The sequence below is a fragment of the Homo sapiens genome, chromosome 19, assembly GCF_000001405.40.
Source record: "Homo sapiens chromosome 19, GRCh38.p14 Primary Assembly".
Taxonomy (NCBI): Eukaryota; Metazoa; Chordata; class Mammalia; order Primates; family Hominidae; genus Homo; species Homo sapiens.
The window spans coordinates 18,839,799-18,866,312 of record NC_000019.10 but is presented as its reverse complement, the minus strand read 5'-3'; the positions used below and the strand labels follow the sequence as shown (position 1 = coordinate 18,866,312).

General features: G+C 55.9%; 1 protein-coding gene across 5 annotated transcripts in view, besides 3 other annotated features; it reads right to left on the bottom strand.

Moving 5' to 3' along the window:
- UPF1 (UPF1 RNA helicase and ATPase) overlaps positions 1 to 26,514 on the bottom strand; it is a 36,272-nt gene that overhangs the window by 1,918 nt on the left and 7,840 nt on the right. For 2 of the 5 annotated variants that reach the window (XM_017027105.3, XM_047439191.1), the window contains exons 2-23: positions 20,194 to 20,333; positions 18,480 to 18,569; positions 16,071 to 16,238; positions 15,445 to 15,625; positions 14,017 to 14,178; positions 13,209 to 13,326; positions 12,963 to 13,061; positions 11,604 to 11,736; positions 11,275 to 11,434; positions 11,071 to 11,189; positions 10,224 to 10,388; positions 10,013 to 10,127; positions 9,293 to 9,436; positions 8,780 to 8,993; positions 5,875 to 5,992; positions 5,331 to 5,487; positions 4,161 to 4,303; positions 2,701 to 2,875; positions 2,062 to 2,143; positions 863 to 1,024; positions 535 to 752; positions 147 to 269 (exon numbers count right to left, since the gene is read on the bottom strand). In XM_017027105.3, coding sequence (XP_016882594.1) covers positions 150 to 269; positions 535 to 752; positions 863 to 1,024; positions 2,062 to 2,143; positions 2,701 to 2,875; positions 4,161 to 4,303; positions 5,331 to 5,487; positions 5,875 to 5,992; positions 8,780 to 8,993; positions 9,293 to 9,436; positions 10,013 to 10,127; positions 10,224 to 10,388; positions 11,071 to 11,189; positions 11,275 to 11,434; positions 11,604 to 11,736; positions 12,963 to 13,061; positions 13,209 to 13,326; positions 14,017 to 14,178; positions 15,445 to 15,625; positions 16,071 to 16,238; positions 18,480 to 18,569; positions 20,194 to 20,333 — 3,183 coding nt within the window. In that variant the 3' untranslated portion in view covers positions 147 to 149. The remainder of the gene's footprint in view (positions 1 to 146; positions 270 to 534; positions 753 to 862; positions 1,025 to 2,061; positions 2,144 to 2,700; positions 2,876 to 4,160; positions 4,304 to 5,330; positions 5,488 to 5,874; positions 5,993 to 8,779; positions 8,994 to 9,292; positions 9,437 to 10,012; positions 10,128 to 10,223; positions 10,389 to 11,070; positions 11,190 to 11,274; positions 11,435 to 11,603; positions 11,737 to 12,962; positions 13,062 to 13,208; positions 13,327 to 14,016; positions 14,179 to 15,444; positions 15,626 to 16,070; positions 16,239 to 18,479; positions 18,570 to 20,193; positions 20,334 to 26,514) is intronic. The other 3 variants (NM_001297549.2, XM_017027106.3, NM_002911.4) reach the window with 3 other exon arrangements.
- Positions 16,463 to 16,687: a silencer, noted in NCBI's record as "fragment chr19:18960435-18960659 (GRCh37/hg19 assembly coordinates)". NCBI's record gives its function as "represses an EF-1alpha promoter that drives an FKBP-Casp9 reporter gene in an ReSE screen in K562 erythroleukemia cells {active_cell/tissue: K562}" and the evidence as "EXISTENCE:reporter gene assay evidence [ECO:0000049][PMID:32094911]".
- Positions 17,235 to 17,354: an enhancer, noted in NCBI's record as "active region_14333". NCBI's record gives its function as "activates an Ori minimal core promoter by ATAC-STARR-seq in GM12878 lymphoblastoid cells {active_cell/tissue: GM12878}" and the evidence as "EXISTENCE:reporter gene assay evidence [ECO:0000049][PMID:35858748]".
- Positions 18,814 to 18,873: an enhancer, noted in NCBI's record as "active region_14332". NCBI's record gives its function as "activates an Ori minimal core promoter by ATAC-STARR-seq in GM12878 lymphoblastoid cells {active_cell/tissue: GM12878}" and the evidence as "EXISTENCE:reporter gene assay evidence [ECO:0000049][PMID:35858748]".

Here is a 26,514-nt window from a genome sequence, read left to right as displayed (position 1 = left end):
AGCTGGCCCTGAGGGCCTATGACCCCCACCAGGCACAGCACACATTTCCAGATACCACCCCTCCAGTGCAGCTCCCTGGGGAGAGCCCCCTCCCATCCTTCTCCTTGAGGCTGGGGTGGGGCCAGGCCTGCTCCAGGGGGGCTTGCCTTTTAATACTGGGACAGCCCCGTCACCCCGCCATGCTGGTAAGCCCGCTCTCCCTGGTACGTGGAGTCCTGTGAGAGCGCCACGTCGATTTGTGATTTAAACTCGTCACCAAGGTAACTGTCCTGAAAGACAAGGTCAGGAGGTAAGCAAGCCACAGGCCAAGGGTGCTCACATCCACCCAGCCCTCAGCAGCCCCAGAGAAAAGAATGGAAAACCCGTCCCCAAACTAAGACCCAGGAGACCCACTCTGATGACCCCAGCCCAGGGACAGGTAATTCAGACAGTGGACATGGGCCAGGCCAGCTCTCTGGGGCTCTTCAGAGGGAATGTTTCAGGTGCATAGCCCCACCCTCACTCAGGTAAGTCCCGTCCCAGGGGCGGGCTCACCTGGGACAGCTCCGGCTGGGAGAGGCCGGGCTGGCTCATCTGGGAAGGCTGGCTCATGGAGATGTAGCCCTGCGTCAGGGCGCCCTGAGAGAAGGGCTGTGACGCCACATCCTGGCTGGCTTGGCTGTTGGGGAGGTTAGTCTGGCTGGGTCCAGGAAGCCCAAAGCGGTTCTTCTGGCGTCCCCCACGACCAGTCTTGCCTTTCGGGGTGCCTCGCCCTGAAAGACAGCAGTCCAGGGTGATCCGAAGGAGGCCAGGGCCTCGCAGACAAGCACACCCTCAAGAGCTCTCAGGAGGGCCACACCCAGCCGCAGCCACAGATGCTCACCTGCAGCAGGCCCGTTGGCTTGTCCAAAATAGCCAGGCGGTGGCATGGGTGGCATGACCAGGTTGAAGGGGATGGGAATGTTCATGGCAGCCACGTGGCTAGGGCCGGCACTGATCATGCCAATCTGGTCATGGGTCTGGAAGTACATGCTGGAAGGCCGGCCTGCAAATCACAGTGGAACACGGCAGGTGTCACCTGCCTCGGTCAAACCCCAGCGATACCCCACCCACCCCACCAGCCAGTCAGCCGGAGCTGCACATCTGTCCTGGCTCTGCCCAGGCTGAAGATGCGGATTCGCAGGACTCCATGTTAACTACAGCAGCCTGCCTGGGGCTGGGTGCTTGGGCAGGCACCTTCCCCGAGGAGAGTCTGCTGGGAATCATTGGCCTACACAGATCTTAAAAACTGAAAATTGGGGCCGGGCGTGTTGGCTCAAGCCTATAATCCCAGCACTCTGGGAAGCCGAGGTGGACCACCTGAGATCAGGAGTTTGAGACCAGCCAGGCCAACATGGCGAAACCTCGTTTCTACTAAAAACACAAAAACTAGCCGGGCATGGTGGTGGGTGCTTGTAATCCCAGCTACTCGGGAGGCCAAGGCAGGAGAATCGCTTGAACCCAGAGGGGGAGGTTGCAGTGAGCCAAGATCACACCACTGTACTCCAGCTTGGGCAACAGAGCGAGACTCGGTCTCCAAAAAAAAAAAAAAAAAAAAAAACACCTGCAAATTGGCCAGGTGCAGTGACTCACGCCTGTAATCCCAGCACTTTGGGAGGCTGAGCAGAAGGACTGCTTGAGGCAGGAGTTTGAGACCAGCCTGGACAACATAGGGAGACCCTGTCTCTAAACAAAAAAAAGAAAATAAATGAAAATCACCCTGCATTTACCAAAGGAAAAAAAAAATCCTTTTTATGAAAATGTTCTATTTGTACTACATGCAGTCCCTGCCCTACCAAAAGGCAAGAAAAAGCTAACTAGCTTGATCACCAGGAAACACAAATGAATAAACTCTGGTTAAAGACAAACACCCCAGGAGTGTTCCGGGGCTAGAGATGCCCTAGGGGCGGGGAGGCCAAGGGAGCCAGGCACCGCCCTTGAGGGGAAGGAAAGATGGGGGCACCTAAAGCTGCAGCCATGGGAACGGCCAGCATCCCGGTGTGAGGACAAGGGGTCGGCCAGGTCCCCTGCTGAGCGACTCACCCTGGCTGCTCCGATCATAGACGGAGCCTGGGATGATGGCCTCCCGGGCATCATACATGGCTGTGGTCATGAAGCGGGCTCCCTGCGAAGGTTTAGATAGGTGAGGAATTTGTCATCTCAACAGAAGGAACAACTTCCCACGGGCCCGGTGGCCTGGGAGGTGGCAGGTATGCAGCTGTGAGGTGTTGACACTGTGCCAGGGGCTCTCCCTGGAGACAGGAGGGAGCTGCTGTCTCATGGCCTCTGGGTCTCGCCTGCCCTCCTCGGCAGACCTGGGCTCTGATGCTGACCCTTGGGCCTCAGCTCAGGAAGCTTCACACCCCCTCACTACCAGATCACCCCGGGCTTGCAAAGCTTCCAACTGCCCGTGTCCAAGGTCCCAGGCTGCTGCATGCAGCACAGCAGCCCTGAGCCCAATTCCCAGAGGCCACCCAGGACTTAGCGGCCCCAAGCCAAAAATGCCACACACGGCTCGGGAGACAAGAAGTGGGCTGGCCCACCCTCCCCTAGGAGAGCCCACCCTCCCCTAGGAGAGCCCTCCCTCAGCTCACGGGCACACGGGCCAAGCTGGCACGTTCCCAGCAGTGTTTTGGGCCCGGGTTTCTCCGTGCTGCCCTGCTGTCCTGTGCAGGCGCTCACCGGGTTGATAGTGTTGACCAGCTTCCGTGGCTTGCTGAACTGCATGAGGCTCTCACGCAGGTTGTTGAGCGGCCCCTCCACCAGCACCTTCTGCTCCTTATAGTAGTTCAGCAGGTGGTTCCAGAGCGGCTGCTTTGATAGTGCCTTCGGGTTGCCCACAATGATGACGCCATACCTGCAACAAGGGCGCAGTGCTGAGGACGCAGGTGGAGAGCTGCCCGTCTCACAGGACGGTCCAAGAGGCAAGGCTGCATTCACTCAGAACCCAAATCCAAGGCAACAGAGGCGTGGACCGGGCAGCAGGCAGGCTGCCAGCCACAGGGACAGGCCCCAAAGCCCAATGCCAAGCCACTGACCCTGCACACGGGTTGATTTTGTGGCCGACTCTAAGCAGCCCCATGGCAGACACCTGGCTGGGTGGATACGTTTGGAGAGAAGACCTGCTGTCAAGAGAGTCGGCCTTCCAGGCACCGGGGCACACGCGGCCCCACAGGGCCCCCAGCAGGCCGGGGCACTGACCCGATGCCCAGCTCCTCTAGCCCACCTCACGAAGCTGTGGGGGGACCCACCCAATACTGCCCACCAAACAAGAGGGCGCCTTAGAAAGAGGGAGTAACCAATGACAAAGCCATGGTGACCTAGAGGAGAACCACCGCGCATATGAGCCGGAAGGAGCACCAGGCTCTCTCCCTGTGCTGGGTGGAGCCACAGGCCAGGTCCCCCCAACTTCCAGCTGGTGAATGGGTCCTTGCTGTCTAGTGTTTTTTTTTTTCCTTTGGAGACAGAGTTTTGCTCTTGTTGCCCAGTGGCTGGAGTGTAATGGCGCAATCTCGGCTCACCACAACCTCCTCCTCCCAGGTACAAGCGATTCTCCTGTTTCAGCCTCCCAAGTAGCTCAGATTACAGGCATGTGCCACCACGCCCGGCTCATTTTTTTGTATTTAGTAGAGAGGAGGTTTCACCATGTTAGGCTGGTCGAGAACACCTGACCTCAGGTGATCCACCTGCCTCGGCCTCCCAAAGTGCTGGGATTACATGTGTGAGACACCATGCCTGGCCTGATGTCTAGTTTTATGTGGGATGACAGAATGGACACCTTGTTCTCGGGGTCCCTTCTGCTATCATCAGTTCACAAAAGTTGTATTTTAGAACCAAAAATAGTGGACAGGACCAAAACTTACAGCCTCTCAGATTAAACAACTTGACAGACACACACAAGATTTATTTTGAATCAGACCAGAAGGGCCTGGAAAAATACGTCCTGCTGGGCTGAGGCACAGGGGCCACAGCAAACCCCCAGGACACGGAAACAAAGATCTCTCCAGTGAGACATCGTTTCTCAACTGCTGCTCAGAGTCCTCTGACCTCTGGCCCTGGCAACCCCCAACCCTAGCCCCAAATTCCCTGGGAAGTGAGGACCGATGAGCGGCTGGGCAGCATGCAGCAGGCAGCCTCCCTACCTTGCTCTGGTCAGGGCCACGTTCAGACGCCTGGGGTCATTTAAAAAGCCAATGCCTTGGTGCTCGTTGGCCCGCACACAGGACAGGATGATGAAGTCCTTCTCGCGTCCCTGAAAGGCGTCCACACTGGCGATCTCCACCTCCTGGAAGGGAGCTTTGTGGTCACTATCAGCCAGCAGGCTGCCTTCCCAGTCCCCCCAAAATGCAGGAAACACACCAAGACCCACCCTCAAATCCCACCCGGGAGCTTGGGGCCTGGCGCCTGCTCACCGCACCTAGGGGCTGTCCTGGCTCTGCTGCCATTTCGTTTTGTTTTCTTTTTTTAGAGACAGGATCTTGCTCTGTCACCCAGGCTAGAGTACAGTGGTACAATCTCAGCTCGCTGCAGCCTTGACCTCCCAGGCTCAGCTGATCCCACCTCAGTCTCCTGAGTAGCTGGGACCATAGACACATGCCACCATACCCAGTTATTATTTTTTTTTGGTGGAGGCAGGGTCTCCCTACGTTGCCCAGGTTGGTCTGGAACTCCTAGCCTCAAGCGACTTCCCTGCCTCAGCCTCCCAAAGTGCTGGGACTCCAGGTGTGGGCCATGACACCTAGCCTGTTCTCTTTTAGCCACGGAGATTTGTTTCTCAGCACTAAGAGCACACGTGCTCATCCCAGAGAACCTGAGCCGTGCTCAAAAACAGAACAGAAACCACTGCCATGTGGCCACTCAGACTCAGCACTTGGGCTCATTTCCTCATGGAGGCAGAGCTGTGCCTCCTCCCCACACACCCGCAGTGGGTGTTTCATCCGGGTGTCAATAAAGGTGTGAACACCACGGTCTCCACAGCACAACATCCAGTGTGTGGCAGGCACAGACCACTGCCGTTCCACCTTGGACTTGTTTCAACCATCCCGAGAAAACACCTTGATGTGCCAATCTCAGCCCATGTTTCTGATCCCTGTGATGTATTTCTCAAAGTCTCTGTCCTGATCATGTGGAATTTCGCAGGGTCTGTGGGGATGTGCTGTCTGTGCCCTCCCCAGAGGGTGGGCCAGCTGGTGCTTCCTGGGCCATTCTGAGCTCCAGCCAGGACGGGCCCCTCTTGGGGGGTAACTTAAAGGTCAAGGGTCAATACCCTTGCATGGCCCAGGAGACCAAGTGTGCCCGAGGGCGCAGCGCACCTGGTAGAGCTTGGTGTGCAGGGAGCCGCTGAACTGCATGTACTGCACCAGGTAGGAGCGCTGGCCCTCGTAGGGCGTGATGATGCCAATCTGGTCCGGCTTGGCGCCTGCCTTCAGCAACTTCGTGGTGATCTTCTCCACGTTCGCAGCCTCGGTCCTAAGAAACCCAGGCTGTCAGTGCTGGGCTCCACCTGTGGGATCCCGAGCCCTGAGGCTGGAGGCCGTGAGGGGTGCAGACACAACACCCTGCGGGAAGGCAGCTGCCATCACTGGCGTTTGCACAGCTGAGCTTCCCCAGCCTTCACCAGGGGAGTCTCGAGGGGCAGAAACGGCTGCCATGTGGGATTAGCAAGTATCTGCCCAATAAAAAACAAGTACAATGGAAAAGGAGGCAGAAACAACACGGTTTAGAGTCTAAACAGGCTAAACAGGAAATGAAGGCAAAAAAAGTTTCAGTCCCATGTTAAAAATAAGTAGAATGGGTCAACAACCTCTCAAGCTGTCCCCAAGACCTGCAGACGCCGGTGGGCCTGTCCCTGCTCACCTGTTCAGGTAGGAGGTGCCCGAGCTGGCAATCTCCTCTTGGCCCTGGGTCACGTAGAAGAACATCGGTTTATCGGGTTGGGGCCACTGGAAGTCAAATCCCTTCTTCACACGATCCGCTGTGAGGGGAGGGAAAGAAGTAACACTTCAAAAGCCCTAGCCCGCCTCAAATGAGTTCAGACACAGGGCAATGTAGTTGCTACGCTACAGTGCTGCAGGTCCTGGGGCAGGAGACTTCGATCTGTGAGGCCCTGGTGAGGTCACCTGAGCCGGTCCCCTGGCCAGAGATGCCCAGGATTGGGCAAGGCTGAGGAGAGGCCACCGAGAGCACCATGGCCAGCACAGAGCTGGCTCAGCCCCTGAACAGGGAACAGGGTCTCAGCCAGGGCTTTCTTGCAGCCTGGATCTCTGCCAACCCCAGGATACAGGATATTCTCCTGCTTCCTTCCAGAAGCTTGCCTTAAAGGCGCCACAGCCCCTACAACTGACTTGTGTGTGACACTGTTGAGCCAACAGTGTCCCCCTGCCCTGCAGCCTTGTCCATTCCTGCTGAGGGCCTGTTGACCGGTGGCTCTGCCTCTGGGCTCCCTCCTGGGCCGGGGCCCAACACTGCAGCTTGGGGGCCGGGGCGTCCTGCCATGTGAGCAGCCACTTTCTTCGGGCTCTTCATGCTCATCTTGGCTTTTCTGGGCCCTGTTGCGTTTCCTTAAAACTGTAAAACCAGTTTCTCAATTCACAGGTGCCCTCCTCACTCTACTGGGAGCTTCCATCAGTGGAGAAAACCGGTGTTTTTGCACAGCACCAGCCTGACATGGACAGAGGAAGCCAGACACGCCAGGACACATCATATGATCCCACGTCGAGCTGAAAATGAGGCCAAGTGGATCACTGCTGTTACAGCGAGCACAGGGGCCGCCGGATGAGCTCAGAAGTCCCTCAGCCCAGGGGCTGCTGTGGATGCGCACCCCTGGACAGTGGCCACCTGCAGGGATGAGGCGGCTTCTCACAGCTGGTCAGGTGGTTCTGGGTTCAGGTGCTGGCTATCCAAATATGCTCACTTAGTAACCACTCATTGAGCCAGACACTTGTAATGTGGCCACATGTTTACACTTCAATAGAGAATTTCCTAAAATGTACTTCCTGGGTGTGAACTACGTGCTGTGCATCAATTAGAGAGCAGTGTGCACCAGCGTCTGCCCTCTGGGCCGATGCCCTGGGGACCATGAGGGGTCTGAGCCTGCGCCGAGCCACGCCTTTCCCAGCCAGTGCTCAGACACCCCAGAGCACAAGCTAGGTCTCTGTGGCCTTGTGTTTTCAGCCTTGCCATGCGCTGGGAACAGCGGTGTCCCTGCGATGTCAATAGTGGCATCAACTCCCAAGACCTACCGCTAGGCAAAGAGTGGTGTGGCCCAACCCGGGGGGTGGGCTCTGAGCCTCACTTTCTCCTGTAACTAGGCCTGACAATACCAACCTCACAGGTTTGGAGTTCATGAGGCGCTGTGTCGGCAGCTTTCAGGACCCTTTACACTCTCAAAAGTTAGGGAGTCCAAACAGCTTTTGTTTATTGGATAACTGTATTCTCTAAACTTGGAAATTTAAAAAATATATTAATTCATTTAAAAATAACCCATTACGTGTTAGTTATTTCTCCAAAAATAAGCTAAGTAAGAAGAGTGGTCCTGTCTCCCATTTCTGCAAATCTCCTTACTATCTGGCTGAATCGGAGGCAGCTGGGCCCTGGGGTCCACCTCTGCTCAGTCCACCCTCCTGGGCTCTGGGGACGCTGTGGGGAAGCCAGGCCTCATGGATGCCTGAGGCTGGAAAGGGAGATGGGTTTGTTTTTACAGCCTTTCTGCATGGCTGGGAGTCTCCAGCCCTGAGGCCACATCAAGCTGGACAAAGGTGGGTTTCTGCAGGCCTGTGACAACTCTTTGCCACTCCATCCCCATGTGACTTCGTGACACTCTGCTGGTCATTCAGGAAGGATCTCCCACCGAGTCAAGTAGGTCTTCCAAAGGCTGACACATTTCACTGGCAATGGTGGAAACATTCCATCTGTCACCCCCACAGACCTCACCAGAAAAGTCTCTAGGTGTTGGGAAGACACCAAGCTCATGGCAAGCGACGTTAAGTTTTCCAAAATTCTGGTTTTCACTTGAATTTTACTACTGTAACAGATGTTGCCACTAGTTCTCCATGAAGCGACAGGTTCGATCATTTTTGGAAAAAGTCTGCCCAACACCTTGGGGTGAATACCCAGGGTGTGTCCACAAGGACTTCCTTCAAGCGCCGGCATACCCAAAGGTGTCACGAGAAATTTTATCTGGTCACAGTGAAACACTCGAGGCTTAGTAAGATGTACTGTTCACTTCCTCATCCAGGGCGTTTCTTACTGTGATCCGGGCACAGTCTGGCTGCTCTGGGCTGACTCTTGCAGAAGCACCAGGGGGTCACCAGCAGTGTGAGCGTCAGCAGAGTGAAAAAGGGCAGGTGAGGCCTCTGTGTTATCCAGGGAAGCCGGACACGGTCTTGCGGGCCCCAGGGGCCCAGGCCCTGAGAACAGCTGTTCTTCATGAAGCACTGAATGCACAGCCCACGTTAAGGCCCGGGCTCAGCTCCCCTAACAGCCTGTCCTGGCTGCTGTGCATGCTGCCACATGAGGCTTGGATGAATTCTCAGGCAATGACTGAGTTTTACAGAGGACACAGGCTCCCCACATGCCCCAGAGACACCACTTGATCCAAGACCATACCATCAAGACCTTGGGCACAAAGTGCCCTGACCTCAAGCAGTGGCTATGTGAAGCCGCTCAGGGGAAGCTGATGGGCCAGTTCCTTCTCCCCAGTCCACATTCCCTTGATGCCGCTTCTCTGTAGAAGCCCCTGCCCTGGGCAGAGCCCCGTTACCTGCAGTGACACCATTCTGGAGGGAGCCCTCGTAGAAGATGTTGGATGGGAAGGCGCTGAGTGCAGGGTGCATCCGGTACTGGACCTGCAGGCGGATGGGCCGGATGCCCAGCACCACCAGGCGCTCGAAGAGCGACTGTGACAGCCCGGCCTTGGCCGCCTTCTTGCACATCACCACTGGGCCCAGCTGGCAGTGGTCGCCTACAAGGATCAGCTGTAGGAACAGGGGCCCCCACAAGTCAAGAAGCTCAGGTGTGAATCAGCCTCAACACACACTAGCAAGGAAGTAGGGGCCCCAGGATGCACAGGACACCACCTGGCCACAGGGGCATTGCTCACCACGCACACTGGACGTGCAGCTGGCAGAACCCACCCTCTATAAACCCCTCAGGGAGCCCCCAGTGTGCGCACACTCTGCTGGGCATCCTACGTCAATACAAGGTGTTTTAAAAGACAAACACCAAGAATCACACACACGAGTTTTCACACAGGAGGGCAGGGGAGGCAGCCCACCTGCTTGGCCCCGAGGACCACGGGAACCATGCACTCCGGCTCGGTGGCCTGGGTGCTTTCGTCGATTAAAATGGAGCGGAACTGCATCTTGGCCAGCCTCGGGTCACCGGCGCCCACACATGTGCAGCAGATGACATCTGCGTTCTGGGGAAGGGTGCAGAGGCATCAGGGCACCTGCACTGTAAACGCCACCAGACCCCGGAGGGCAGGTGGGACAGAACACAGAAGCTCTCCTGTTTCTCACCCTCCCTGACACTATAAAAAACAAGCTGTCCCTCCCAGACAAGATACATGGTCCAGGCTGTGGTGATTACAAACTTTTAAGATCCTTAAACGGTCATGTTTCACAGAAGGCAACCTCTCCACACCAAGAGCTCTGCGCCTCACGACAGCCTCCAAGGGGCAGTGCTGAGCTGCTGGAACCTGCACTCAGGCTGATTCCAGTTCAGGCTGGTTGGTTATGAAAGAGCAGGAGTGTTCTAGATCCACTGCCGGATCCCAGTGGAGGCTGGCAGGGAGTGGAGACTCCCTAGAAGACCGTGTTCCAGGCAGCGAGATGTCCCTAATTTACTGTACAACTGAGCGCAGAGAGGCCAAGTAGAGAGCATCTAAGTTCTCTTTCCAGAAGCAAAGCAACAATTCAAATAGGTGCTTTGGCCCAAACAAAAACCATCAGGCCGCCAGCCCACAGGCCCTTTTGCAGGCAGGAGGGGCACTCACCATCAGCAGCTCTCTCTCTGCGGTGCGCTTCAAGGCCCGGTACCGCTTCTCGTCGGCAGACGACAGCTCCCCAGTCTCGTCTTTCAGCTGCTGCAGCTTCTGCAGCTCAGGCATGCTGGAAGCACATGCAGGTCAGCAGGGTGCCTGAGTTCTGTACATGTCACCCGCAGAAGCTCAGGGACCAACTGGGAGGGATGGACTCGACACACACCTGTCCATGTTCCTGATCTGGTTGTGCAGGGCCAGAAAAGACACCGGGGAGTCGATGGCCTCACGGCTCTTGGCGCAGAGGCGCACGACCTTTAGCCCCGTCTGGTGGATCTTCTCCGTTAGCTGGTCCACGGCGATGTTGCTCGGAGCACACACCAGCACCGGCCTGCAACACCATTGGGGCAGCTCAGTGCTTACCCAGAGGAAGCTCGGTGAACGTAGTAAGCCAAGACTCTGTTTTTTGAGACAGGGTCTTGCTCTGTTGCCCAGGCTGGAGTGCAGTGGTGTGATCTCAGCTAATTGCAGCCTCAACATCCTGGGCTCAAGCAATCCTCCCACCTCAGCCTCCTGAGTAGCTGGGACCACAGGTGCACGCCACTACCCCCAGCTAATTTCTGAATTTTTTTTTTGTAGAGACGTCTCACCCTGTTCAGGCTGGCCTTAAACTCCTGACATTTTTAACAGGCAGTAATGACACGATGCCGAAGGAGCTCAGATCCAGACAGCCCAGGCTTCACAGCTCTACCCACCGCAAGCAATGCCAAGGCTGGAACTTGCACCATCCCGCCACACTATAAAGTGCCGCACACGGAACTCACGCTGCTGCAGCCATGCCCCCCCTGCCCCCAGTTTTCTAAACCAGTAGCAGACCTGGTTACTAAAATGCAATCCTAAGGTTGGAGCTGACACGAATAATGTCACATAGAGAGCGGTAGGCACCATGGCGACACTACCCGCCACGTGCTCTCTTCGGTGTGACAGAGCCCAAGGCTCCCAGCACCAGGCCTTCCATCTGGCCACCCTAAAGCCCTCCCGGGTCTTGCCCGCAAGGGCCGTGTCAGCCCTACCCGTTGCCTTGCCGGGCCAGGTGGTAGACGATGGTGGCCGACGTCACCGTCTTCCCCGTGCCTGGCGGGCCCTGGATCAGGCTCAGTGGTCTTTGCAGCACAGTCTTCACGGCATAAACCTTCAATACAAGCGGCCGTTAGGGGCAGCCTCCGCTTGCGTCCCGGCCCATGGGCGAGGCCCCGCGCGCTGAGGACGGCGCGCACCTGGGAGTGGTTGAGGTCGGGGAGGCCCTGCGCCGTGAAGCGCTTGGGCAGCTGGCACTTGATGATTACGTCCTCCACCTCGTGGCCCAACAGCTTGTGGTAGATGTAGCCAGACACCGAGGTCTCATCCACGGCAAACGTTTTCAATGCGCTCTGCATCCTGTGAGGAGGGTTTGGGGTTGGCGACACGCACAGCTGTGGCCGCCTCTCCGACATCCTGAGTTTGCAGAGCTGGGTGGGGAACCCCACTCCACAGTGACGGGGAGGGCTCATAAAGATGCCACAGGTGGCAACCAGGGAACAGGGGGCAGTGATGGGAGAAGACGTACCTGTCAAAGGAGGTCGACTTCCACACAAAATCCACCTGGAAGTTGTGAGTCACCTCCACAGGTGCACCCACGCTGCTCCGCAGCTCAATGGCGATCTCATCGCCATAATCTGTGTGCTGAGTTAAGTTTGCATCCTTGTCAAAAGCCGGGCTGACCTTTCTGGGCCACCCTTGGTACACGCTCTTTAAACAGCGTTTTTAAAATTTAGTTACTTAAGACACCGCTGGCTCTGCACCAAACGCTAAAAACGTGCAGCCAACACCAGACCAGAGACCAGAAGGACAGCATCCTTGAAGAAAGACTCTACCTCACCATGAGCCGGTGTCCCACCCCCAGCCAGCCTGGAGTTCCTCCTTGCCACTCCCAGCCACCCATCTAGGCCCCTTTCAGAGACGCAGAGGGCGGCAGCGAAGCCAGCAGCGCTCACCAGCAGGGAGCAGCCACATCCTGGGCCCCAGGACCTCACCGGGAGCTCCTGCACATGTGGCCAGCAGGGGCAGGCAGAGCTCGCAGAACCCAGCTTTGGCCACAGCAGCTCTTCTCACAGTTCCACAGAAACAACACCCCTCCCAGTACGGCCAAGCAAAAGGCTCCACATACACAAGCAAACTGCCCTCCAGGAGGCTGTGGCCGGTAGGCAACACCCTTCCCTCGACCCCGAGCCCCAAAACCGGTCTCACGTGTTCAGGATGAGCTTGTCAGGCCCAGGGTGGGTGTGGGAGACAACTCTCCCTACCCCTGTGGAGGCCACCGCTGAATGGTCAGGCCCCAGCAGCATTGGCCAGTCACCAAGAGGCAGCCTGAGTCTGACCCGCGGTGTCTTCTCCCAGGACTCCTCCCCACCCAAGCCTCTGACTGCACCTGTGCCTTACAGCTGCCCCACTCTGGCCGGCAGGCTGCATCACCATGAGGTCACTGCACATTCCCAAACATGGCCTGGGAGCAAGTGTGTGCTCAGAGGGTCTGCATGTGACCACTGGCTTCTGGAACCTCCGTGTGCAGAGTCAGCGTCCAGGTAAGGCGCTCCTGCAGCCACATTAACCTCCAGAGTCAGTCCAGGGACGTGCCACACAAGCGGCATACATTAACTTCCAGAGTCAGCCCAGGGACGCGCCACACAAGTGGCATCACCAACATCACCATTCGGGCAGAGGGGAAGCAACCATACAACCAGCTGTCCCCTGAAGGTGAAGGCCCTGTGATTCTCCTAAGAGCAGTGGAGGGCGATGCCAACCAGCACCCACCACAGAGCATGAGATGCTGGCCCAGCAGTGAGCATCAAATCCACAGTGGCCTCCACCTGATGCCCCCACTTTCCTCTCCCACCAGCCGGCCACACCCTCTTCACATGAAGGATACTATCAGGGACCTTGATGACGTGGCCGATCCCTTTCCACAGGGGCGCAAGGTCCCCTTTGTACCGCAGGCATATCTCATCCCCCTGCATGAGCCGCATGTCTTGAGGTAAAAAAGTGAGAGAGGTGGCCATTTTAACCCACGCCGTCGCTTCCACCAGGGAGAGTTCAAATTAAGGGGCACTTTACAAGGGTGGAACTAGGAATTTATGCTACTTATGGTCACAAATATTTTAAAACTTAAAATCACCTCTTAACCAAATTATGACTAAATCCTCATTACCAGAGTCAGTCTTGGGCAAAGTGAAGTAGGCGATTCTCTTCTTGTTAAGGCCCAGGTCCCACCTGACAGTGATGTTATCTTGAGTCTGAGCACATGAAAAACAAGAGCCCCGGTTAGCCTCCAGCACAGGCCCGGGCCTGGCCTCCACATGCCCGAGGCCCCATGAGGCGGGCCCTACAGCAAGCCTCTGCCGTGAGAGCAGGCGCCGTGAGTGGCACCTGCAGCCCCAAATGCCACCAAGGGCACATCTGAAAGAGAAGCCATTAGGAGTCCCCGGAACACACACAGGCCAATCCCGTCTGGAGGCTTCACCGCACACCAGAGGCCTCCGTGGCCAGGGAGCAGCTGCTGTGGGAGGGAGGAAGAGAGAGAGGAGGGGAGGGAGGGACAGAAAGAGGAGGGGAGGGAGGGACAGAAAGAGGAGGGGAGGGAGGGAGGGGAGGTCAGCGCTCCAGGGCTCCCGTTGCCTAAATGTGGTCTTCACAGGGATCACGCCCGAGTCTAACTCTCGCAACTGTGGGCAAAGCTGTGGACCCCACTGGGAAAGATGTGTTGGATTTAAACAGAAAACACTGAGGCTGATGTCAGATCTGAGGGCGGGGGCTCAGACCACCGGGCTGCCAGGCCCGGATCCGCAAGTTCCAACTCTCAGGTGTCGCGGCTGCAGCCCACATCAGCTCCCACAGCCTGGAGAGAAAACCTCCCTCTGGAAGCCTGAGGAGAGAGCTGTGAGAGCCAGAGCCCACCCCAGGCCAAGCCCTCTCGCACACATCACCTGGGACTCCTTCAGCTTCTTGTCGTAGTCGGCCTCCAGCTTGACCAGGGGCCCGAATATGTTCTGGTACTGGTAGGCGTCCTCGTACCGCAGGAGGACATGCTGCGGCTCCTCGTCCACCCCCGGCTTCTCCAGGTCCTCCAGCGTGGCAGAAGGGTTTTCCTAGAAGACAACAACACCGCGCCACACTCGTCCTGTTTTTCCCTACATGCAAATGAACGAGGGCGCAGAGGCACCAGAGGGATGGAGCACACATGCCGCTTCTCAGAATGGGCCACGGTGGGTGGCATGGAGGGGTTCTGGCGCAGCCCCACCTGCAAGGAGAACCCTGGGAACGGGAACTCCATGCCACACAGGGAGCTGCACACCGGCCTGGCCCATGCCTGGGCCTCAGCTGCTGCTCCGCACCCCAGCGGGGTTCCGGTACTTGGGTGAACCTGCCTACAAAGCCCCAGGCACCAGCCTGACACACTGTCCACAGCAGAGGGCACCTTCAGAGCCAGCTGCTTCCTCCAAGTATGCCCAGCTTGTGAACGAGAGCAGCTAACCCGCCTCGCAGGCTGCCACAAAGACCACCGGTTTCTCTCGCTGTGTCCACAGCCCGGGAGGCCTGTCTCCCACGTCTGCTAACCCTGAGCCAGACCAACATGGGCCCGCAGCTCTTCCCCTGGGGGCCAGCTCCCTCAGTGAGTGCCATGCTGGTGGGGACAGGACATTTTCTGGGCTGTTCAGATATAAACGGGAATCATGAAATCATCTGGCAACCGGAAAATCCAAGTGGAAAGGTACCCGGCTGAACAATGCTTAAAAAAATATTTTAACTTGCACTTCATTTCCTATGTGAGATTTCTGACTGAATGGGAGGCAAATGAAAACTTCTAGCCTAGTTATTAGAACTACTTTATCACAAAATCCTAAACAGCTGGAAGCACAGAAAGGCTTCCGTGGGGAAAAGTGAGGGCTGTCTGTGGAAGGAGGGCCAGGCACCCACTACTTGACCCGGCACCCTCTCCTCTCCCCTCTGTCTCAGCTGACTGTGCCGACCTCGACACCAACCTATTTCCCCAGGACATTCTCGCAGCCCACCTGTCTGGGCAGGTTCAGGCTCTGCAGGACAAGTCTGCCCACAGCCAGCCCCATTCTTCCCCTCCCACCACCCATCCTCACCCCGGCAAGACAAGAAAAATTCCAGCAGCCAGAGCTTTCCTTTCCCCAAGGCCAGGATCTTCTCGGTCAGGTAAGGCTGCCTGGATGGAAGGTGACCAAGGTGCCCTGAGGTCATTCCACGTAGAGGTGGCAGAGGTCTGCCTGAATTCCTTTCAGAGAATCTCCAGCGGTCTCACTGGGTCAAGCCGTCTCTGAAGACACTCCCCTCCCCGCAACCAGAAACCACACGAAGGCACGGGTCGGCCCGCTGGGCAGCCCCACCTTCCACAGCTCCTCCAGCTTGTTGATCTGCTGTGCCGTGATCTGGCGTGCCCGCAGCTGCTCCTGCTCGGAGGGGATCTTGACCAGCCAGGACAGGAAGCAGCGGTCCTGGATCAGCGGCTGCCACTGCGAGCTGTCCCAGTTGATGTCCTTGAGGCTGCTCTGGCTGGCACAGGGCTGCCTGCAGAGCGGGAGGGGGCCGTGAGGACCAGCTCCCGTCCCTGAAGCCCCGGAGCAGGGAGGGCCCCCTCCCATGCTGACCTTTCACCCAAAGGGGCATGCCCTGCATTTTATTATGTGATCACATTACCTTCAAACTGTTAGTAATAAATCGCATCTCCCTGTGCACTTGAGCTCTGAACTCTTAAAACTCAGAACAGACTTTGTTTTTACAGAATTGTTTTTATGACTTAGCCAGAACGCCCCAAAAGAGTTACACGGCACTGCCGACTCCTTAACAAGCCTCAGCGCCTAAACGCTCTCATGCCTCACCCTTCAGCAAAAACCATCTTTGGAGGACAACTCCCTGGAGTTAGAGCCACGGCTGGGCTGGGCTGGGCCAAGGCTTGTGAGGAGACGGCTGGAGCTTAAAGGTCACCCCCAGGAGACATCTGGGGACCACTCACCTGCACAGCAGCACCACCACTGAGTCAGCTTTGGCCGGGATGAAGCCGAGGAGGAAGACGTTGCGACAGCCGCAGTTGTAGCACTCCAGGACTGTCTCCCCCAGGGGCCCGTCCTTGTGCAGGGTCACCTCTTTGCATTTTGCCCTCACAAGGTGATTTACAATGTGGCTGAAACCAGGAAATGATAAACGGTTAACACCCAAAATTTGGCTTTTCACCACTTCCAATTTTCGGGCCCCTGTTAAAAGTTCCGGTACCGTTCACGGTCCATTAGCAGAGGCAGTCACACCTCATCCATCTGGCATCTCTGGGGGCCAGCCCTCCCCCAAACTAGCTCCCCACTGAGCACAAAAATCAATCCCAACTTGAACCACTTTAAGGAAAACTTCCTTAACACGGTTCACATAGTTCCTGCCTTTTTTAAAAATCCTGCTTTCTTAAATCCAACTTATCAGGCCTAATTTAACCCATTGTTGGCCCAGGGCTGCTGTGGGGTCAGAGACATTTCCCACAAGGCCCCAGCCCCTTCTTTCCAAGGTCAACCCCCGCCACCATCTTCTGTGGCTTCTTCTGAAATCACTCCTCAGAGGCCCTGTGCCTACTTCCAGGAGCAACAGTCCCTCCTGCTTTGCTGCAGGCCGGGAAATCTGATAAGCAGGCGACTGGAAACCCCCGCAAAAAGCAGCAAAAAGGTTGAGCAGAGGCGGGGGCGGTTCTACAGAAGCCCAGGGCTGTGTGTGAAGCCCTGGCTGGCTCGGCTCCTTCCTTGCTGCGACGTGGCCAGGACACTGCTCACCTAAACCGCGGTCTGGGCTGAACCCTGCCCTGTGCCAAGCCAGCCACCCTCCAGCACCTATCTGCCGTATCTAACAAGGATGCCCAGCTGCTCTGCCTTTGGGCTCTTCCGGTGTCTCCAGCAGCTCTGAACACGCCTGCAGGGCCTCCCAGCCTTCCTCACCGCGCCCTCTCTCTTCCCCTCTGGAAAACCATTCTTGCCAAAAGCTTCAGCTCAGCTAATCTTCTAACCCTTCTCCCTGCCACGAGGCCCAGGATTCTCTAACCAGCCATGGCCACTCTGAGCATCTCCAAAGCCCGACTCCACTCTGGAGCCCTGCCGGCCACGTGGGCAGAATCAGCTGTCTCCGTGTCTTCTCATGCATCCTCACCCTGTCACAGCCAAGATCCCTAAGGGCCAGCGGCTGCTTCCTCACCTTCCCCTGGGCCTCGCACAGAATGCTCAGTGGTGCTTGGCTCAAGCCTGTTGTTTCTCAGAGGCCCTTTTGCTCACTTCCCTGTTCTTGGCTATGCTGACCGGAAGCTGGGGTTGCCAGCTAAGAGAAGTTTTATTTAGTTGCTTTTCCTGAACAAGAGGAACTAAATGCAAACATAGCAACACTTAAATTACCCAGAAGATTCTGAAAATGGGACAAGAATGTCTTTTGGTTATCCAGAAGATACCCTTCTTTAAAATCTTTTAAAAACAGCAGCCCCTTTCTGGCCTTGCTCATAACACCATATTTCAAGTTACTAACTCAGAGATGCCACGAGATCTGACTGCTCCATCTGTAACCCTCCGAGACCCACAGCTGTCAAAGGCACAGGAGGGGCTTGTGTCAGCACAAGTAAGCCTGCCTCCGGGCTTTGGTCATTTTCTTTCTCCAGAACGTGAACCTCAGAAAAAGACCCCACACTTCCTTGCTAGCACCTCGGAGCTCTGCCTCCCAGGCTCTGCTCCATCCTCTCCAGCAGTGGAGTGACCTGTACACAGCAACCTGGAGGGGAAGGGGAGCCGCTAGCACGGGACCCACCAGGACGAGAGTCCCACCACTCGGGCAAGACCATCGAACTCCCCCCTTGGAATTTGGGCACTGGGAGAACACTGTCCTGTCCCAAACACAGAACAAGCGACACAGTCCAGCTGCAGCTGATCAACATCAGGAAGGCAAGCCCAGCGCCGACGGTCAAGTGAACTTAATTGAAGCCGATGATTCAGGATCTGGCCTGAATTAGCCTCCGGACAGCTCCGATGAGCTCAGGCCAGAGCAAGCTTGCTCAGGAACCAGCGCCCCTGGATGCCCGTTACTGCCTTGGGAACATCCTCCCGTTAATGAAGATCAGCGGGTGTGCCAAGAGCTCATCTTGCAGAAAAATCGAAATAAAAACTGGGAAGGAGAATTAAGCCAACCCTACTTGCATAATAAAAAGAGCCACAGAGAATAAATCAAGGGTAAATACATTAAGGCATTCACACACCACCATCTGTTTCAAGTTAAACCAGTCACAGAGGAGGAAAAAACCCAGGTTTGTTAGCGTGATTTTATATTACGCTTTGCTTCAACATTTCCATAATTTACACACAAATCTGAGCACAGCACTGATTAAACACACATGCATGGTCTGATTATCTACCTGCCAGAAGTATTTCCACGTCCGTTGCAGAACCACTTCTTGCTGGTATTACAGTAAACCACGCAGGCAGGATCGTGTATTCCACAGTAACTAAAAAATCAAAACAGCGACAGTTACAGCTGGAAGCTTGCTCTCTGGTTTTCATTTGGCAAGATGTGAAATTCTTTCCTCTGACAACATTTTTAAGTTCTTCATTAAACACATACTCAACCCCAACAATCCCAGTAACCAAATCAAACCAGTTAACCAGGGCTTCTCAAATCCAAGAATGCAGGGAAGGGGTATGTGGCAGAAGCTCCGAGGGGATAAGGAGCAAAGCCACCTCCAAGGAGAGTCCTGCTGGAAGGAGGCCTCACTCCTCCAGGGCCATTCTAGTCCCCGTTCTTTGGCCTGAAATTCAGGAATCCAGCCTCAGACCCAGTGGTCATGGTGAACTCTGGGCTCCAGCAGAGGGCACTGTGCTCCCAGGGAGCTGGGCACAGACCCTGCAGCAGCAGCGCCCTGAAGCTCAGGCCCCGAAGCCCAAGCGAGGAGCCTCGGGAGAGCCTCACCCCACCACTGGCTGTGGTTTTCTGAAAATCCACATACCAAACCCAAAAATACTAGCTCCCCAGAGCTGCACCAGGACTTATGGCCATCTCTGTGTGTTAAGAGAACACAATTACATACACGAAAACATCTGTAAATGAGAATGAGTGAAGAGCTGAGATGCAGGAAAGAGTGCCTGCCCACCAAGCCTAGCGAAGAGCAGCCTCAGTCCCGGAGCGCTGGGCAGCACGCGGGCAAGGAGCTGCAGGGAGGGCCCCAAGTGGGTGCCCACAGACAGAGGCAGGGCTCAGGCCCAAACCTGCCGTGACTGTCGCTCAGGCTGGAGTGCAGTGGTGCGATCTCGGCTCACTACAACCTCCGCCTCCCGGGTTCATGTCATTCTCCTGCCTCAGCCTCCCAAGTAGCTAGCTGGGACTACAGGCGCCCGCCACCATGCTTGGCTAATTTTTTGTATTTTTAGTGGAGACAGGGTTTCACCGTGTTAGCCAGGATGGTCTCGATCTCCTGACCTCGTGATCTGCCCACCTCGGCCTCCCAAAGTGCTGGGATTACAGGAGTGAGCCACCGTGCCTGGCCAAAACCTTCTCCCCTCTTCTAATCTACATTTCCTCACTTGTGTGTCACAAAAATACAGAAATAAGCCTCAACAAGGGACGATCCCACTCGAGATGAGAATTCTAAATTTGTCAACATGCAGGTCTATCCACTAACTACTGTCTTCACATCCAATTCTCCAGGCACGGCCAAGGCAGCGGGAGGCAGGGATGCCCCAGAACCCTGCAGCAACTGCTTTGTGAGGGTATCTCAGCTGCTCCACTCACCCTCCCACCCCAGATGCTCACCCAATGCCATGACAAATTCTTTCTATGAGTGAGTGCGCAGGTACCAGGCAATGCCCCCAGGGTCTGAGGAGGCCAAAGGAAGGAAAACTTTTCCCACCAGCTGGTGAATTCAGGGTGTCGGAGGTTGCTGAGCCCACCTCCTGACCGGTAACAGGCCTTGGCTGTGCACATGGCCTGAGCAATTTCCTTACTCCCGAGGACACCGCCACCCAGAGTCACAGCACAAGGGCGCCACCCTGTACCTGGGAGGTGAGTGTCCCAGGCCCATGCCAGAGGCACCCACCTGTCCAGCACATGCCCAGGCCCAGCTGAGCTCAGCTCACCTGCAGGCGTGTATGGGGAGGTCCTTCGTGTAATAGGTGTCTTCTTCATCTTCCTCGAAGTTCAACTCAGCCAACAACTGGCTGGTCTTGGCTACACTGTCGTCCACAGCCCCGTTCTGCAGGATGCCTTCGGGCCCAACCTGCAGCAGAACGCAGTGTCACCTGAGTGAGGCTGCAGCTTCCAGGACTCAGTGCAGAAGAACCAGCCTCGATGACTCTGGTGTGACACCCTGGCCTCATCTCTGCTTTGAGACAGTTTCCCTTGTTCTGACTGGATTTCACTCTTCTCTAGCAAACCTACCTGGCCAAAAAAGGGCCACTGGTGGCCTTCTACACCCCCCGGTCCCCCACACAGCTGGTCTAACCCCCGCCTAGCCACAGAGCCATGTCCATGCCCACAACCAGGATGCTTAGGAAGATGCTTCTTTCCCATGACTGAGGACCACAAGGAGCAGGGTGACTTTTACAGACTGACAGCAGTGTGCCCTGAGGACAGCTTCATGATGCCAGACCCACCACAGTGTAAGGCTCATCAAACACTACGAAGCTGCCACCCATGCAGATGTGGAAATGTCACTGGCCACATCCACTGCCACCTCACCCTCCCCATCCCTTCAAGGCAGCCCTCTCCTGAGGATGAAGTAGAAACTGAACACTGAGATACCCTTGGCAACCGAGGCCACACCCTCACTGAAGGCGCCTCTTCTATGTTCAGCAAAGGCAGACAGCGCATGGCTCTAAGTCATCAGGCCACAACTGCACAGGACACTTGCAAGGAGACCACACAGCCACTGGGGCTCCTCATGCCACTCCCAAGTACCAGCACCTCAAATGACATGGCCAACAGTCCCTGGCATGGCCCCCATAGGCCACCTAACCCCACCACGGGGTCAGGCAGCGGGAGCACTGTGTCATGGCAGAACACAAGGTGGCACAAAATTAAGGGCCAGGGAGGAGTGATGGGAGCTCCCCTAGGGACGGCACCAAATCTCCCACTGCCAGTCCCAGCACCCCAGACAGCCCCTCGGCCTAATGCCCTTGCTGTGTGATGCAGCACCTGTGCGAGCCTAGGGACAGGTGCTCATGGGGAGCAGCACCCCACAGAGGCCCCTCCAGCCCGCCTGGCTGGGGTGCATGGGCACGTGCTACCTGCACGCACAGATGCACACTGGGCCCAATGCTGCCCTGCAGTGATCTGGTCACAACACAAGCTGACTTCTGGGTTAACTTCTCCCTTCACTCTCTGAAAAGTTTCAAGATAAAACATTAATTTCAAAAATATATTTGACCCTAGGAACTATCATGAAATGAGGTAAAACAGCAGTAGGGGACAGTGCCTGGCACAGAGAAGTTCCACAGCCCACGCCAGGGGACATGATGGGTGAAGGACAAGAGGGTCATCATCTTCAGCTGGCACAGAGCTGCCACTCCAATAAAGTCCTTTGAGGCTGTCAACTTATCCCCTCACCAGGGAGGCTCTGGAGGGGCAAGGCCTCCCTGTACCCATCCCAGGCATTCACCAAGAAGCAGCTCCTCGGCAGGGCGGATCACCTGAGGTCAGGAGTTCGAGACCAGCCTGGCCAACATGGTGAAACCTCGTTTTTACTAAAAAGGCAAAAAAAAAAAAAATTAGCTGGACGTGGTGGCACGTGCCTGTAATCTCAGCTACTTGGGAGGCTGAGACAGGAGAATTGCTTGAACCCAGGAGGCGCAGGTTGCAGTGAGCTGAGACCGTGCCACTGCACGCTCCACCTTGGGCAACAAGAGCAAAACTCCATCTCAAAAAAAAAAAGAAAAAAGAAAAACCCAAACCCCCCCCCGGCCCCCAAAAAAAGCAGCTCCTCCCATCACCTCTGCTCTGGACACAGTATTTAAAGACGTATCCTAGAATTCCCACTTCCTAGTCATACACGAGGCCCCAGAGCTGGAGTCTCTAACTCCTTTAGTTCTGGATGTGAACCTAGCTACGACTAAAACCACATCCTGGAAGTCCATCTAAGAGCTGTACAGGGGCTTTCTGCCCAGAGACATGCTCCAGAACTCAGACCGTGCATCAGGGCAGCACAACAGTAGGTCACTTCAAGGCTAGGAATGGTGGCTCACACCTGTCATCCCAACACTTTGGGAGGATCGCTTGAGCCCGGGAGTTCTCAAGACCAGCCTGGGCAACACAGCCAAGATCCTGTCTCCACAAAAAAATACACAAACGAGCCAGGTGTGGTGGCGCACACTTGTAGTCCCAGCTAATCAGGAGGTTGAGGCCGGAGGATTGCTTGACCCCAGCAGGTCAAGGCCGCTGTGAGCTATGATGGTACCACTGAACTTTAGCCTGAGCAACAGACCAAGACCCTGTCTCTCTTAACAACAACACACACACACACACACACACACACACACACACAAGCCTGGCCAACATGGCAAAACCCCATCTCTACTAAAAATACAAAAGATTAGCTGGGCATGGTGATGCGCACCTGTAATCCCCGTGCAGGAGAATCGCTTGAACCCAGGAGGCGGAGGTTGCAGTGAGCCGAGATCACACCACTGCACTCCAGCCTGAGTCACAGAGCAAGACTCTGTCTCAAAAAAAAAAAAAAAAAACAAAGAAAGTCACTTCATTCCCACAGACGAAAACCACAGAAATTCAAAAACTCAAAAATCCCCCCAAATGTGCCATCATAAACTCTCAGGCCGCAGACATCTACTCCAACATTTGCACCACTGTCTGCATTTGCCAGCACCCAGGCCTTGCACCTGCTGTTCCCTCAGCCTCAGGGTGAGGTCCACAGGGTGCCTCTCAGGCAGGCATCCTCTGACCCCACCTCAAGGCCCCCGTGGGGCATTGTCTGTCCTGCTCCCTGCCATGAGCCCAGCACCTAGATGGAGCCTGCACCCCAGGAGGCCCTCAACATTGTTGGCTAAAGGCCAAGCTCAAAAGGCAAAGCAGCTCATTCCTGATTCTCTAATTCCAAGGCTTAAATAAAAGAGAGGGCAGGAGGCCAGGCGTGATGGCTCATACCTGTAATCCCAGCACTCTGGGAGGCCAAGGCAGGAGGATCTTGAGCCCAGGGTTTGAGAATAGCCTGGGCAAGATAGTGAGGCCCCATCTCTATTTAAATTTTTTTTTTTTTTGAGACGGAGTTTCACTCTCGTTGCCTACGCTGGAGTGCAATGGCGCGATCTCGGCTCACCGCAACCTCTGCCTCCCGGGTTCAAGCGATTCTCCTGCCTCAGCCTCCCAAGTAGCTGGGATTACAGGCATGCGCCACCACGCCTATTTTTAGTAGAGACAGGGTTTCTCCATGTTGGTCTGGCTGGTCTCGAACTCCCAACCTCAGGTGATCCACCCACCTTGGCCTCCCAAAATGCTGGGATTACAGGTGTGAGCCACTGCACCCAGCACCCCCCCAAATTTTTTTTAATTAAAAAAATTGTAAAGGAAAAAAAGGGGAGGGAATAGGAAGTTCACCACACCCTCAGAGTGATGACTGCCAAGAAGCTGCAGGGTCTCTGAGCCCTCTCAAGGCAGAGGGTTGCCAGGAGGTCTGGCCCCCAAACTGGAAGGATTCTGCCCTGATATTTCCTCTTATTTTGAAAAATTCCAAAGCTACAGAAATCCGACCCCCACACCCCTCCAGCTGGACACTCTCCATCACATCCCCCTGCACTCCGACTCCCCTTGCTCTCACACACTTATCTCTTCCTGACCCATTTCAGAGTGGCCGGCCCCAGGGGAGGGCTTTCTCCACATCCCCACAAAACAGCTGGCTCATGAGCGCACCCAGCCTGCCACACTGTTGGTTAATACACATTCACCCATCACCCCAATGTCTTCATAACGTCTTTTACAGGTTTTTAAGAATCCAAGTCCCAGTTAATGACTGCACGTGATTTGTGATGTCTCTTTAGCCACCTTTAATCTATTAGTTTGAACCACGTGAAACTGCTAGGAGTTGACCATCTTTCACATAGTCCCACCACCCGACACAGCGGTCCCCAGGCTCTCCATTCCTTTATTTTTTTGAGACAGGGTCTTGCTCTGCCACCCAGGCTGGAGTGCAGTGGTAGAATCATAGCTCACTGCATCCTCAAACTCCTGAACTTAAAAGAGATCCTCTTGCCTCAGCGTCCCAAGTAGCTGAGACTACAGGTGTGCACAATGCCTAGAAAGTTTTTTAATTTTTCAATATGTTGCCTAGGCTCACATTCGTTCTTCCCAAAGAGAAAGGGCCTCTCGCCTCCCCTCTCACCAATGGCACCTGTGTGGACCGGCAGACCCTTGTTCCAGCCAGGTGTGCTAGAGTCCGCGTGAGGTTCATTTCAACGGGCCGAGTGTGCAAGGCATCCCCAGCTCACCTCAGGCCGCCCCTGCCTTCCCAGCCCGGGGATCAGCCACTCTCCCTGGAGCCCACAGCCTGAGATGAAATCCACTCCACACCTTCAGCAAGAAGCTGAAGTGTGACAATGAGGGGTTCAGTCCAGAAGGTGCACACCTCACAGGACAACAACCCAGGCCAGACTGCAGCTTGGCGAGATGAAAAGCAGCGGGAGAGGCCGCTCGGAACGCAGGGCCCAGAGACAGCCATCATCTCAACAGCGGACCTCCAGGATCCCAGTAAAGAATCTGCTGTGGAGAGAGGCCAACTGTCCCTACATATCGGACAATCGTGAAAAGCCATTGTTGACGCTGCTTGTGTGATAACGGCGCTGCAGCTATTCAGGACAGGCGCCCTTTTCTGCTTCTAGAAATGCATACTACATACTGCAGGTCAAAATGGCTGAGTATCGCCAATTCACAGGGCTCCACCTCAGACACAAAGGTGAAAGGACACAAAAGACTTGCTTTAAAAACACACACCAGTGAAGAAAAAAAAAGAAAACAGGGAGAAGAAAACCTTCACAACTGTCTCATCAGGGAGACGGAGGCACAGGGCTCACCAGCTCTTGTATGTTAGAGAATTCATCGTAGACGTTTCTACACGGAGGATGCAGCAGGGCTGCAAGCTATGCGCATGGATCCCCGTACTGAAAAAGAGGTGAGGACGGTGCAGGCAGCGCAGCTCTGACCAAACACCTCTGCCTGGGATCTGCAACCCCCTCTCCCAGGGCCGCCAGGAGCCTGCACTCGCTCTGCAAGGAGCTGATGCTTCAGGAAGATGCCATGCTCACTGTCACAAGGGCTCTCTAGAGCCCAACGAGCCACCTTTACACATCTAGACACCATCCTGGCAAAGGCCCACGGGACCTGAGAAGCCCGGCTGGGTTACCCGGCTCTTAAGCTGCTATTCGACCAACACAGAAAAAGGCACAAGGACCTGCTGCCAGCCACCAGACTCCAGGACCCAGCAGCCCTCCATGTATCAGAGAAAGCAGAACTTTGCTCTCATAGGTATGTGCTCCAGCAAGGAGAGCTCAAGGCCATGAACCCTCCGGAGCCCCGAACAGCACTGGTGCCAGGGCCCGGACCCACTCCTCCCACCAGCCCCTCCAGCCAGGCCCCTCGGCCCTGAATGCCACAGAGCACAGCTGGGTGTCACGGCCCTTCTCTGCCAAGCTAGACTATCCCGACCACCATGAAAGCACTCTCACCACCATGACAAGCACAAACTGCCCCTCAGTTGTGAGCTGCTGCCCAGCATGTGCCCTTTAGCTTCCTTGCAGCCGCTCTGGGGAGGCCTCTCCCTCTCACAAGGCCCTCAGGACGGTGCCTCCCCAGCGGAGAGAGCCCCGGCTCAGCCTGGGGAATTATGGACCCTGATGAGACCACAGGCAGGAGCTGGAGCTGCTTTTTAAGTCTGTGGCTCCCTGTGAGGACTGGGAGGGGGCAGCCGGTACCCTGGCAGTTCCCACAGGCACACACACTTACACACTTACTCATGCATACACACATGTACACACACAGCCCTGATCCCGGTGTCCTCCGTCTCCACTGCCCTGTGGCCCCTCCATCCATTCGGGGTCCAACCTGGGCCACAATGCCCAACCTCCAACACCACAGCCCCTCCCCTAACCCCCGCCACTGCCATCTCAGAGCCCTCCTCCCAGCCTTGGTCAAGGCACCCCAGCAGCTCCTAAAGGCTCCAGGACACAGCCCAGCCCCTGCCCTGGCCCCACTGGCCCCACATCCACCCTCCCTCCTTCTAGGCAAAGTGCTGTGCCCACCCCTCTGCCTGGCAGGTACAGCTTCTGAACAACTCCAGAGGCGCCATTCCCACAGGCTTTCCCTTAGCAGGGGAGCCCACTCCTACTCCTGGGGCCCTCACAGCACCCTGGCCAGGCGGCATGTGCTGTCTTCTAACAGTGCAACCGCGGGGGTCAAAG